This window comes from Homo sapiens, chromosome X (genome assembly GCF_000001405.40).
Source record: "Homo sapiens chromosome X, GRCh38.p14 Primary Assembly".
NCBI lineage: Eukaryota > Metazoa > Chordata > Mammalia > Primates > Hominidae > Homo > Homo sapiens.
Genome location: NC_000023.11, coordinates 12,339,182 through 12,353,592, shown reverse-complemented (window position 1 = coordinate 12,353,592; position 14,411 = coordinate 12,339,182). Strand labels below are relative to the sequence as shown.

The 14,411-nt window shown below is 37.9% G+C and overlaps 1 protein-coding gene across 11 annotated transcripts in view; it reads right to left on the bottom strand.

Annotated features, from left to right (window-relative positions):
• The window catches only part of FRMPD4 (FERM and PDZ domain containing 4), a 902,085-nt gene that overhangs the window by 370,931 nt on the left and 516,743 nt on the right, over positions 1 to 14,411 (bottom strand). For 2 of the 11 annotated variants that reach the window (NM_001368402.3, NM_001368401.1), the window contains exon 2: positions 11,956 to 12,052. The exons of the other annotated variants lie outside the window; for them this stretch is intronic. In NM_001368402.3, coding sequence (NP_001355331.1) covers positions 11,956 to 11,972 — 17 coding nt within the window. In that variant the 5' untranslated portion in view covers positions 11,973 to 12,052. The remainder of the gene's footprint in view (positions 1 to 11,955; positions 12,053 to 14,411) is intronic. 11 annotated transcript variants of the gene reach the window in all.

The window sequence follows — 14,411 nt, the reverse complement described above, 5'->3', positions numbered from 1 at the left end:
TACAGGGTATTACAAAAGGTCTTTGCAAGTGAAAAGCTCTGAAGCTTAAGGGTTGATAATTCATGGTAAATTTGTCCTTGAACAACTTTCTGATGAGCAACTCAAATACTTTGAGCTTCAGCTAGCGAGTCCAGTGAGATGAGTTTCTAGCCTTCCACAAGGCAGAAGTCACGCTTTTGGGAAGAATGTTTAGTAGGTGGGTAATAATGGATTGCCAAAGGGTTTGTTCAGTGGGAGCTAAGATGGGCCAATCCATGCAGAGAAAGTGTTTGAGTGATATAGCACAGCCTCTAGAATCGGCTCGAGCTGTTCTTTCTAAAATCTGCTCTGTGGACTTGTGCTGGTCAATGACAGATACTACCAGTGAGAACATTCCTCTGAGATACATTTCTGTCTATGTTGGTAGGTCCAGGTAGGTTCAGAGTCTTCCCTGTGAGTCCATGCAGAGAGGCACATGCCCAGGAAAGGTCCCTGTCTCTGGTCCTGAAAGCCAGCCAACCCACACTCTCGTCCTAGCCCTGCGGGGAGCCTCAGGCATATGAGCTATCGACTGGCTTTTCTCAGTCTGGTCAGAATATTCCATTCTAGGTTCACAGAATCAGTATATACCTATTCATTCCAATTTCAATTATGAATGTAATAACAATGGAAATACCAGAACAAAAGGAATACCCAGGCTCCCTTTCCTGAGTTTATGTTGAACTAGATAACAACAGGAGCAAAGACACAAACTAACTAACACAGGCATGTCAAAAAGTAACGAAGATCCAAGTAACATGGTAAAAGGAAAATGTTATGTTGTCATTTTCCAGCATTCATATTTTTGATATGTATGTGTGTATAAAAATTTGCAGGTCAACAAAAGTTGCCAAACTATTCTCTTTGGGAAAGGATTATCTCTTTTTCTTCATTTATACTCTACTTTTGCTGTTAAAATGTTCCCTCTTTGGAAATGCAACTGAAAACCACAATAGTAGACCCCTGTGTACTCATCAGAATGGCTACAATGAAAAAGATACATTAACTAAAAGTGAATCATTCCTATCAATAGTTTCTGATGAAATAGATTTAAAAGATAGGTACAAAGTAAGTTAAAATTTAATAATCTGTAGAGTTCCTAAAAGCATTCTTTAACGTTAATTTGAAGTTCATAATCCCACGTATCTTTGATGTTCACATTGGATTGAATTGAATTCAGTGAAATATCAAGCAAAACATGTGAGTCGAGATATTTTGACTGGTCACACACAGAAAGAACAGCTAATATTTACAAGCAAAACTCAGTAGGTTTACAAACTTTGTGATTTTTAAAAAATGATTTTCCTTTAAAGTCAAGCAATTTGTTAAAAAGGTTTATAGATGTTTATAATAGAGCCTCCTATTAAAATTTTAAAGACATTAAATTTTTTAAAGAAAAAGATCCATAATGGCAAGTGTTGAGGAGAGGTGGAAATGCAATTGGAATTCTCACACACTGCTGTAAGAGAATGAATCGGTGCTAACACTTGGGAAAACTGGAAGTCAATACTAAAGCTGAGCCTATGAAAAATACCTTTTGGCTCAACAATGACACTCCTAGATATGTACCCAACACAAATACACAGACATATTTACCAAATGACATGTAGTAGGATGTTCACGTCAGCACAATTTGTAATAGGTCATCATTGGAAATGACTCAAATGTCCATCGACAATTTAATGACTAAGTAATTTGTGATATATTCATTCAATAGAATTCTATAACATTGAGAATAAGTGAACTACACCTACATACCACTACATTGATGAAACTCACAAACACAGTGTTGCGTGAAAGAAACTAAATACAAAAGAATACATGCTATATGATTCCATTAAAGTTTGAAAAAGGTAACACTAATCTGTGATGTTTGAAGTCAGGATAGACATCAGCCCTGGCTGGATAGTGGTGCCAAGGAGGCATGACAGGCTTCACTTGAGCTAGTAATGCTATGTGTCTTGTTCTAGGATGTAACTGCAAGCAAGTGTGTGCTTACTTTATGAAAATTCCTTGAGTTGTCCACTTACGACTTGCCCATTTTTCTGTGTGTTACACCTTAATAAAAAGTTTACTTTAAAATGTTCCATATTTTTTTGAAATGATGGAGATTGTCACTAGGTTGTCCCCCAGTTGAAAGAAAAATGTCCAAGACTGAAATCACCAAGACTGCGAACTGTTTATCTATAGGCTGCTGAGAAATTCAAGCCTAAAGAACCAAGTCACGTGTTCCTCTATTTTTAATGGGGGGGCAGGGGGCTGTGCCAATGGTGCAATAAAGTAAGTCATCAGAAATGGTGGCTTTCAAAATAGCAGCAAGATCTACAAATTTAGTGGGAATCTCCATTATGCAATGCTTTCTAGAAAGAACTGTAGCATAATCACACTTTTTTTTTTTTTTTGTGAGGTGGAGTCTCACTCTGTCACCAGGCTGGAGTACAGTTGCGCGATCTTGGCTCACTGCAACCTCCAACTCCCTGGTTCAAGCTGTTCTCCCACCTCAGCCTCCCGAGTAGCTGATTACAGGCACGCGCCACCACACCCAGCTAATTTTTGTATTTTTAGTAGAGACGGGGTTTCACCATGTTGGCCAGGATGGTCTCGATTTCCTGACCTCGTGATCTGCCCGCCTTGGCCTCCCAAAGTGTTGGGATTACAGGCGTGAGCCACTGTGCCCGGCCAATAATCACACATTATAGGCAAGCACATCTTCTCCAAATGTTTTCTTATTTCTTGCCATCCTCTACTTTGCACACATCTTGCTCTGTCATTATGTACCTTCTTTCAAGGGTTTAATCAATAGATTTAAAAACACTCATTCTAAAACAACTTTCCATGAACCTTTTTCTACTCTGAGATTTTCCTTGCTCACCTCCAGTTTTCATTTCCTGTCTCTTGACCTGTTTTTAACTTATTACAAAGTCAATTTGAAATGTCTAACCTGTTTCGACATTCAGTTCATATCCGGGTAGTTTTAATCAAAAACATTTTGAAAATTTAATTAAATATGAGACTATGAGACAGTTTATCTCAGCCCACTATTGTAGTTCCAAAACAACTTTCCTTTTCAATAAAGATGAGGTCACAATGACTGAAGCAGATGTTAGACCCCTATGAACAATTCTCACAAATGAATCTGGTGCTTTATCTTCTGAAATCTGGCCAAGAAAACAGGCCAGAAGTTTTGCACTTAAGACCAATACAAACATAAAGGAAATCTAAAATTTGAAAATTAGAAAAAAAAGCTCTCTCGTGTTTAAATTATGAAAATTAAAAGGCCCATAGTATAAAAAATAACTTGAAAAATCAAATCCTACAGGATAAAGGGAATAAGGAACAAAAGGAAAATATTTCTCCCTCCTTCTTGTTCCATACTTAAATTATACAGCTATATGATCTGTTTTCTTTGTGTTTTGCTGCTGATAATTATATATAATAATTTTTTGGTCTTCTAGTAGTTACCTTTATTAGTGTATTATATGTTCAAACATCTGTTTCATGTGTTACTAATTTTAGACAGGGTCTATTAACAATCAACTCTAAGAGAAATCAATGCACATAGCTTCCTCTTAACTCCCCTTCCTGCTCCATTGTCAATTTCAATTTGCTATATTATGTTTTATGTTCCCCACTGGTTATCTTTGGGTTTTTCATCATTGCATTTATAATATAATTTAAGCCTCTATTGCTTCATATATTCATTTTAGGCAGTATCTTTTTACTCCTGACTATGAAATACGAGGAAATCCACATCCCTAAATGTCTCCCACATCCTCTCCTGCCATGAAATTTTGTTAATAATGTTATATAAATTATTGAATTATTAATGACCCATTAGGAAGACATACAATATTTGCATTCTCTTCTGTAATCCTACTTCACATGATTGGTTAGACCTTTGATTGAACCGGACATAATACTCATTTCAGTTTCTATATTAATTTCTTGTTGAAGAGATCTCACAATCAAGGTTTTTGTTTCAAGAGACGTCATAAATGTCATGTTCAGTTACATGCTCAGAAATGTCTCTTTTTTGCATTTCTACTGAATGGCAATTTGGCTGAGCATAAGAGTCTTGGCTTTCGCTGCTGTTTTCCCACAACACCATAGCTGTTAGGCTACTCAAGACTAGGCTTAGTATCCTATGGAGGACTCCAGAGGGCGCCTTACTAACCGACCCCCTCGCTCCCCAGGTGACTTGCTTTTGATCACATCGGGACTTATAGGATTCTTTATCCTCCTCACCATCTTCAGTGCAAATAGAAGGTCTGCATATGGTTTGTGGGGGAGATCTGTGCATGTTTGTGGAGATTCCGTGTTTTAAAAATTATTTCCTTTCGGCTGAGATAAACTTCTGCATAGCTGACTGCCACCCACTGCTCCCCTCCACACAGCCCCTCTACCAGCTGGCCTGGCCTGCTGCACACACTGCATGTCTGAGTGACTCCTGCTTCAACCTTACCTCACCATGGGTCTCCAGGGGGGACAGAGACACCCACACCCAAAGCCTACTCTTTCAGGCCCACTTGCTGGGCGTTTCCCATCTGCCTCCCCCATTTATGGAGCTCTCCCTTTTCTTCCAGTCCCCCTGTGTTTAGGCTAAATATCATTGTGACAATTCCATATCGAGGTTGGTAGCTTCGGATGTTAGTTTGGCAAACTTTTATAGCTTGCTTCCTTGGTTTCATTAAACATGGAGTTTTTGCTTTGCATTTTTTTTGTTGTTGTTGCTGTTTCCCATTACTTTATGAGGGGAACATCATAACTCTGACATCTTTAAGCAAATTTCTCCATTATTCAATTTACAGAAGTTTTGGGTTCCATAAAGTAAGACCAGCCTTAGCCTACAGACAAATTAATTCTTTACTTTCATTTGGTTTCAATTAGTTTATGGTCAAAGCGTGTTTTTAAAATGCCTCTTTTTTTCCAGGTCTTCTGGACAGTGAAGGCTTAGTCAAGGTCCACTTTTTTTTTTTTTTTTTTTTCCTGGAAGCATTTCCTTCAGCATTTGCTTATTGGGAAGTGGGAGACCCAGGACAAGTGTCTTCAGTTCTTACTTCAGGTGATAAGAAATTACCTGGGTCCTCCTGTGTATTTTACCTTTGGGCACGGTTGGAATTCCCAGGGAGCCCCCATTTCTTCTCTCTCTTCTAGCATGAGAAATGAAATCACAAAGCAGCCTCATCCTCTGCTTCCCTCTCACTCATAGAAATATGACAGTGAGTGAATGCTTCTCTGAGAGTTTCCTTTACTTATGGCCTAAGTAAGCTCAGAGGTTGACTTCAGTGGATGGAGAATGCTGAACATCTAAATAGGGTCATCAGCTGATTGCAACAAAAGCTTCATCAGTGTAAAATCTACAGTTTCATTTCCAACCTTGGTTTGTTGTTAAAATAAGTTGCTGACCGCTCAGTGTAAGGGTTTGTAACTGTTTGTAAGTGATGATATAGAAATAAGTTATGTTATCAGCCCTCATGAATTTAATCTAGTGAAATCTATCCTTAATACTTTGAGTGTTCCCACTAAACAACTGTTCATAAATTAGATTTCCTCAGCAGGAAAAAACAAGTCCAATATGTGGATATCAAATATATGTTTACATATGAAATACTGCTTCAAATGAAAATTGATGGTATTATTTTAAATTACATCATTCTGCTTGGAAAAATTTGCAATAATAATGAAATATAAAATATCTGTATGTATATAATAATACAACACAACATTTAGAAAAACTGAAAATTAAAAAATAAAACTAAGCACATTTCACTGTAATATTTAAAAATAATGACTTCTACTGTGATGAACAATTTAAATAATAATTTAAATGAACTGATACTACCTTAGATGACAGACCAAAATTCAATATTGTGACACTTCTATGAAATAATTAGAATGAGTAAAAAGTTTACTTATTACTATTTACTATTTGTTAATATTTCTTCTCAAAAATTATCACCTATGTTTTCACATGTATAATTAAACTAATTCTGGGGTGAATTTTTATATCAATATTATAAGGTACTTTTAAAAATTCAAGGTCAGGCATTGTGGCTCACGCCTGTAATCCCAGACCTTTGGGGGGCCAAGGTGGGAAAAACATTTGAAGCCAGGAGTTCGATACCAGTCTGGGCAACAGAATGAGACCTTGTCACTACTAAAAAAAAAAATTAGCCCAGCATGGTGGTGTGCACCTGTAGACCTAGCTACTTGAGAGGCTGAGGCAGAAGGATCACTTGAGCACAGGAGTTTAAGGCTGCAGTGAGCTATGGTCACGCCACTGCACTCCAGCCTGGGTGACAGAGCAAGATCCTGTCTCAAAAAAATAAAAACATAAAAAATAAAACTTCTGGATATTATAAGATGATAAACAGTGCCAGAATTCTTAAAACAAATGGCCATGGAAAATATTAAATATATAAAATATTAAAGACATATACTAGAAAGAATATGAAATTTATCTAGCCTGCATTCCTGTGCCCAGTCTGAAGAAAGGAGCTTTTCTTCAATCAGATTATATAATTAAACACAACATTCCCAACCAGGATGAATCACTATATTATCACAACCTACCCCAATTAAGTGCACAAAAAGAGAATTATACAACCACTTTTGTGGCAATGAAAAATATTACTCATGTTAACTACTTGTCTCAGAAGAGTGGATAATAGATTCCACATAATTTCATATCCTATTTGTAAATGCCAATTCTACTGGTATGAATTAGTAAAAATGTCTTTTAAGATTTAAGATGACTTTTTTAAGAGAAGGGGATATTATTATCGTATTATTTTGGGAAATAATGAAAGCATCCATTTGAATCACTAAAAATTGTAATTGGTACCCTCCCTCAACAAATAGAGGGGCAAATCAAGAAGGTGACTGAAGAATAAAAAAGTATGCTCCATTTTTGGCAAATCTAGGAGGCAGACTCCAAATTATTTGTAAGGGGTGCTAAAAGCAGTGGCGTATGTACAAAAGGTATGCTGGACAAAAAGGGAGGGAATATACTTACATCATTATTAATAATCTACGCAGCGGTTCTCTGGAGTAGGTATTATTTTGCCAGTTTTACATATATGGCAATGTAAGCCAAGATATTATATAAGTTTGCCAAGGTTTCAGCAGGAATGACTGAGAAGGTTTGAACTTCAACCCAGGACTCTTTCTAAGCCCACTATGCTCAGAGCCTTGTCTATAATACATTCCCAATCCCCCAATATAACAATTTCAGATTGGACTCTGCCTTCCTCTCCTTTATTTACAGAATCCCAATGCAACCTATTTTTTTTTTTTCCTGCAAAACACTATCATCCCAAGAAACCTTTCCACTTATTCCCTGGTGAATCATAATGCTATTTCATTCATGATAATTTCCTATTAACCATCAGCTTGCCATCCCAACAACATACCATATCTTTGCTTACTAGTTTGTTTTTTTCTACAACTGGCTTCAAACTTTTGGGTAGTTTAAGACAATTACATTAATCTTTATTTAGTATTTACCCTTCCAATATACTTAAAAAAAAAAAAAACTAGAGATTTTAAAATTCTCATACAAAAGGTATTTCAAAGGCAAAATTACATCTGAAATCCTAAGAGTATTTCTCTTAAGCTTTACTGTTTGTAAAGAAGATTTCTTTTCTTTTTCATGACAGATTTCTTGTTCATAAAGTAGCTTAACCAATGCTTTTCATGAATTCAGAGAAAAAGTTATTCTTGGGCTCTTTGTCAAATTCCTAAGCCTTAAGCACGCCATATATTGTTGTATTTTAAAGAGCTAGAGAGATTAATCATGTTTTATGAGATGTGAATAGATTTAGAGTTCAATAAAGTACAGAATTAACAGGACTGAACTACATTGGCTCAATTAGTGACAAATTAGATTTGCTACCATCCCTCCCAGTCTCCCAGTATCCACAAATCATGTGTTCATATCACAAAATATAGACTGATCCATTGGGGAATTGGCAATGGGTAATAACAATCAGCAACATGAGGAATTGCAAAGGTTCCCCAATTCTCCAAGCGCTCACCATCATTAGCCCTGGTTGACAGTTCTATCCATGTTTCTCTGGGTAGAAGCCCAGTACCACCTGGGCTATTGGGAAAGCTACTCAGCCTTTCTGAATTTGCTAGAAAAAGGGTTAGAGGTGCAATTGCTAGAAGAAAAGGAAGTGTCTTCTTAAACTGATGCTAAAATAGATCTGAAAGGCAAGGTCACACACATCCATAACCAGGCTGTGAGCACTCACCCATCTCTCTCACCATCACACATTACAGGAGGAAGGGGACTGCCTCCTTTTACACAGTCTACGCACCCACCCATCCATCCACTCAGCCATCTATCCATCCATCCATCCACCCACCCACCCATCTACTCATTCATCCGTCTATCCATCCATCCATCCATCCATCCATCCATCCATCCATCCATCCATCCTTTCATTTGTCTGTCTGTTCATCCATCCATCCATCCATTCATTCATTCATCCATCAATCCATCCATCTTTCCATCCATTATCCATCTACCCACTGAATGCCTGATTGGGATGAGGCCTGGAATTTCTTGTACTCATTTTTTACCAGGTTTAACTTTTATCTTTGAACAAACAAACAAAAAGCTTGAAGGAGTTTGATTACGATTTTTTTCCTGCTTTGTGTGTGCTTAGATGGGGGTGCAAGGATGGGTAAAGGAGAATTTCAGAGTTAGATTTATCCCCCCTCCCCACTATGGTGGACCACGGGAGATCTCCATACACTTGGAATTCAGCACTTGCCATCTACTGAAGGCTGCAAAAACAACAACGAAAAGCCAGGAACAGACTCCAAAGAAAGTCAACACAACTCGTCTGCAAAGGTCAATGAAATCTCACTAAAGTACAAAAAGATAAATGCTCTTTGGTTAGGAATCTGCTGTATATGATTTATTGAATGGGGCTCAGTACTATTTTAATAATTAGTATTATAAAATCAACATTTTCCTGACAGGGTCAAAGCATTAAAATTCATCCTCTCTGACTTCCTAATGATGGTGAATAATAAAGAAAACGGGTTGGTTTTGACAAGGACTGCAAATGGGGATGCGAGTGGGGAGACAGATAAGAGGTCTAATTTAATATCAAAAGATTTTAAAAAGTGGAGGAGGGTCTGGTGGCTGAGAGAAAGAAGAGAAGAGAAGAAATGGAATTTGAGCAGTACTGGAGGGAGTAGGATTTGGAAAACAGAGAAAGTTGAATGATAATTAGGGGAAAGTTTTGCAGTGAGATGTGATGACCCCCATATCTCACACACATACATTCACACCGAAGACCTCAAGACCTTCAACGAAGACCTACATTGATTTTGCAAGGCTTCCTGGTGTTGTGTTTGTGTGCTTTGCTTTTATTTTTTGAATGGTGCAGCCTGCTGAGGTGAGCCTTAGGCAAAAGCAGGTAGTCTAGATAGACACCAGTGATGTGTACTAAGGGACTTGAGAGTGAAAAACAAAACAGGCACTAACAGAAGCCAATTCAAAGCCCATTTGGGGCAACTGCTCTTCCAAACAACTTTAGTCACACAGTACCTTTTCCAATTCCAAATTAAATTAAGGGAATGCATACATTAATAAAACACCAAATAACAGCTTCATAATTTCTCTGGCAACATATGATGATGCTTAGAAAAGAAAATGATGACTTTGGGACATAAATACGGAAGGGAAAACCTACTTTCAGGTTTTGTTCATGAACTTAGTAATATGAGGCTGCTGTTGAGGTCATGCTGCTGTAGCGATTTTCTCCAAAGCAACGGCAAATGTGGAGACCAATAAATAAGTGTCATCAGTGCTCACAACCTCAAGCTCATGATAAATCGTGTGCAGGTAAAAAACGCTGATATGAGAAAAGAGGTCAGCGACAGTTTCACATATTAAAAAAATACATTAACTATCAACTAGTGAATATAGACAAATGGAATATGCTCCTAGTAATCTCCTGATCAATCCTGACCTGTTCTCAGGAAGAGGGGTGAGTGGTTTTTCATCAGCTCTCTTCTCTTCATTTCTCTTCCCCTCTAGACATCCCTCTTAGCAATTTCAACTCTTACATCCCTAGAGGTGACTCCTAAGTACATTTATAGGCCTGACCTCTTTCTTGAGCTCCAGACCCAGATTTCTAACTGACCTGCTGGGCCCAGCCAGATGGATGGCCTGCTGACGCCTCCCAATCAGCAGGGCCAAAATAGAATTCATTCACCCGGGCTCTGCTGCATTTCCCCTCTTTGTGAATTAGAAAATCAAAGCACAGAGGCTAATCCACCAGTCCAAGGTCACTCAGTAACCAGTAATGGACAGGGTCAGAATTTGAACTCTGAGCTCCTACTTCCAAATCCCATCCCTACCTCATTCATCTTTCTCCTTTTCACTGCTACCATCCTGGTGTCAATTGACTGTCTCTCCAGTGGAGTGCCACAGTGACCTCAGCTGGTCTCTTCTCCCCAAGTCACTTGTCTTTCTTTTCCTTCCTTTCCCGTTTATGGGTCCTCACTCATGGGTTTTGAACTCTGATCACATCATTCCACTTCTAAGTAGTAAGGCATCATCACAGTTATACTTATGGCCTCGGAAACCAGGCTTCCTCATTTGAATCCCAGCTCTACCTCTTACTGGCTATGTGATGTTGGGCAAGTTAATCTCTTTGTATACTTGGTTTCCCAATCTGTGAAACGGGAATGGTTATATGACACATCACCTCATCATGAGGAATAAATGAATTGATATGTATAAAATGGACACATGGCTAGTGAGACATCAAGATCCGCTAAATGAATTATGAATTAATTTTCTCAGTTTGGTCTTTACAGCCCTCTATAAAGTGACCCTTAACTCCTTTAACCACATTATGTCATACACATGTCATTCCTACCAGGTTGATCTGACACTGCTCCACAAACATTTGCTTTCTACTTTCCTGCCTCTGTTATTTTTCCAAATATTTCCTTAGCTTGGGATGGCCTTCCCAGTGTGAGCTTGTCATTCATAACCAAGCTCCAATGTCCTCTTCTCAGCTAGAATAGACCACACCCACCCGTGACCCCATCAAGGGCACCGGTTCCAGGTCATGCTCTCTGTATTTGAATTTCCTGCTCTTTCACTGATAGTTGTTACCCTGGGAAAGTCACTTAACCTCTTCATGCCTCAATTTCTTAAGGAGGATTAAAACAGCACCTTTTTTTATAGGGTCTTGATTGCCCAACTATGTACACTATGTGTACAGAGCTTTGAACATCACCTGGCTCAGAGAAATATTCAATAAGTACTAGCAATTGCTTATAGAAATATACCTATTTGCTTTCAGATATGCCTTCCTCTTTTAGATTATGGAACCCTAGAGACAACTGTTATTTTATTCCTTTTACAGTGTCTTGTATTGTAGCTAGCTCCAAGTAAGCATCACCAAAAACTAAATGTTTGTTGAACGAATAAACATCAGTCAACCCATCTGCTTTAGTAGTTAGAGCATAGCAAATATATGGCTCAGGTTCACAAATCCGATCTCTTCTACTGAATATCAATTCTAAAAGATATAGGAGATTTGCCAAAATTCAGAGGCAGAAATCAGTATTTTGGCAATAAATTACTTTCTTTCCATTTAGCCTTTTTCCCCTACAGAATTAAGCAGAAAGCAATTCTATAAGAGCTTCTAGTTCTGATTAACTATGGTGATCCAGAGCTTTTTGAATTTTAATTTCAAGAGCCATTAAAATATCTGAAAAGGGACTTTTTTTTTAAAGTTCCTTGAATCACAGGTTGTTCATACATTTTGTTGGGAGACATAAAATAATATAGAAATTTGTGGAAGAGTCATAACAATAGTCAACCAGCAAAAATCAAATGTAATAGAATATTAAGAGCTCAAGGTTTAGAGTCAGAGTTCAAATCTTGGATCTGTCACTTACCAGCTGTGTGACCTCATGCCACTGAACTGCTCTGTGCCTCAGTTTCCTTAACTGTAAGTGGGGACACTAATGCCTGTCTCATAAAACAGCAGAGTGCCTGAAAAATAACAAACACTCAGTAAATGGTGTATGTTAATAACAATAACAATGGCAACAATAACAATAGTTTGGGAAAACAAATTTCATCTTTCCTTTAGAGTCAGTAATCAAGATGCAAAAGTGCCCATGAATTAGAAAGCAATCACAATTTGAGTTCTAATAGAATCAGTAACTTACCCATGAAGAAAAAAAAAATGGTTCAAGGTAGGACAATATTTCATTAAGCTGTCTTCCTATGCATCATTGCTTTCTGATTAATTTTTTTGATATATTTCCTAAAATGACACTATTCTGAAATATTATTGCATGCCTTGAAGGTAAAGGGGAATGCTTTGGGAGAAAAGTTTTTATGAAGAATGGTCCTAGCTCCAGAATTAAAGGCTAAAATAACTTGAAACATCATGGCCTCAAACTCAGTCATTTTAGAGATTTAAAAACTGACTTGAAAACAAAAAGAAAACAAAAACTCACTAAACTAAACTAAGCTGAGAACTGGAGGCCTGAAGTTTATAAATAAAGTGAAGTTTGTAATTTTCCTGAAATTTAGAGTGAGTCAAGTAAAGAGACTCCCAGTCCTCACTCCAGGATGCTATCAGTAGAACGTGCTGAATAGTTCAACTGACATGACTGGGATGCCATCTACCTTGAGTGCAGTCAAGGGGAGGCAAAGAACTGAAAAGTCACGTCATTGAAACAGATCATTTAGGTAGACCATTAGTTGCACAGATGAACATTTGTAAAACGTGGAGCAACTAACAAAGGTAAGGAAAGTTTGGAGCGCATTGAAAATCAATGTTGATGTCAAAATCAAAACCCTAACAAATAAAATAACCTAAAATGAAGGTCCACAGACTACATAAAAATAAATTTTTTTTATCTTTAAAATGTGAGCATTCTGAAGAGAGAAATGGTGCAGACCTTGCCTTACTAAGGTAGGGGACAGTGGCCGACCTCACAAAGAGACAACTTGTTACATGTACTTCTCAGCTAAGATCTCAAGGTTTTCAGAGATCCTTCAGAACTGTGATGGTTCTCTTTGATAACCCTAGTTGGCCTACTAAAGGACAAATTGCCTACTTTGACCTCCTTCCCAACTAACTAATCAGTTTCCCCCAAAATAGGAACCAACATTCACTCTTCCTAGGCTGGTTTTTCTCTCTCTTCTCTCATATAAAGCCAGTTTTTCTCTTCTTTATTCTTTGACAATACTCCATAGACCATTTTACACATAACTAAATGTGCATGCAAATGATTAAACATGTCTGAAAAATGCTAAGTATTGAAACGTTGTTTTCACTTCCACTGGAAAAACTGACATTTATGCAGTGGTTATTAACTTTTATGATACCATCAACACTGTATTGGTGTAACATGGTTGTAATGAGCCTAAGGAATACTTGGCAATCTGAGAACCCAGTCCTTGAGTGCCACTAATGGGAAGCCTGTTGCAGATAGCACAGAAGTACTGTGAAACTGCAGTCTATCAGGAAGAACAATTCTCAGGAGAGGAAGAACAATTCTCAGGAGAGGTTCGAATCAACTCTTAGAATGAGTAGAGGGAAAATCCCATTTACCATTGAGTGGCTTGATTGCTACCCAAATTTGTTTATTAAGAAATACCATTGGCCAGGTGCAGTGGCTTACGCCTGTAATCCCAGCCCTTTGGGAGGCCGAGGTGGGCGGATCATGAGGTCAGGAGATCGAGACCAGCCTGGCCAATATGGTGAAACCCTGTCTCTACTAAAAATGTAAAAATTAGCCAGGCATGGTGGCATGTGCCTGTAGTCCCAGCTACTTGGGAGGCTGAGGCAGGAGAATCTCTTGAACTCAGGAGGCGGAGGTTGCAGTGAGCCGCAATTGCACCACTGCACTACAGCCTGGGCAATAGAGGGAGATTCCATCTCAAAAAAAAAAAAAAATTCATTAAACTTTTTCCAATGATGCTGTGGTATATAAGCAAGAATTTGGTCAGACTATGCCTGATCTCTTACTTCATACTTTCCCAGGAATGCTGAAAGAATGAAATATGCCTGAAATTAATGAACTGGCAAATTGTGTACCTGAACATGGACAGTGGTTTGACATAGGTTAGCCAGGACTAATGAGAGTGTAATCAGTGGGGTTAAAGATGTAAAAAGCAAAGAATACACAATGATGTAAAACATCAAGGCATAAAGGCAAGAACAAAGAAACAAACAAAAACAAATTTCATGTATTCAAACTATGGTTCATACACAGAAGCCTGGTATCTATAAATGATCATATGCATCCTGTCCTGATATGAGAAAAATGCCTTGGAACATTCAAAAAACATGATTTGGGGTTCAATAAATTAAATTTGTCTACATTTTAACCAT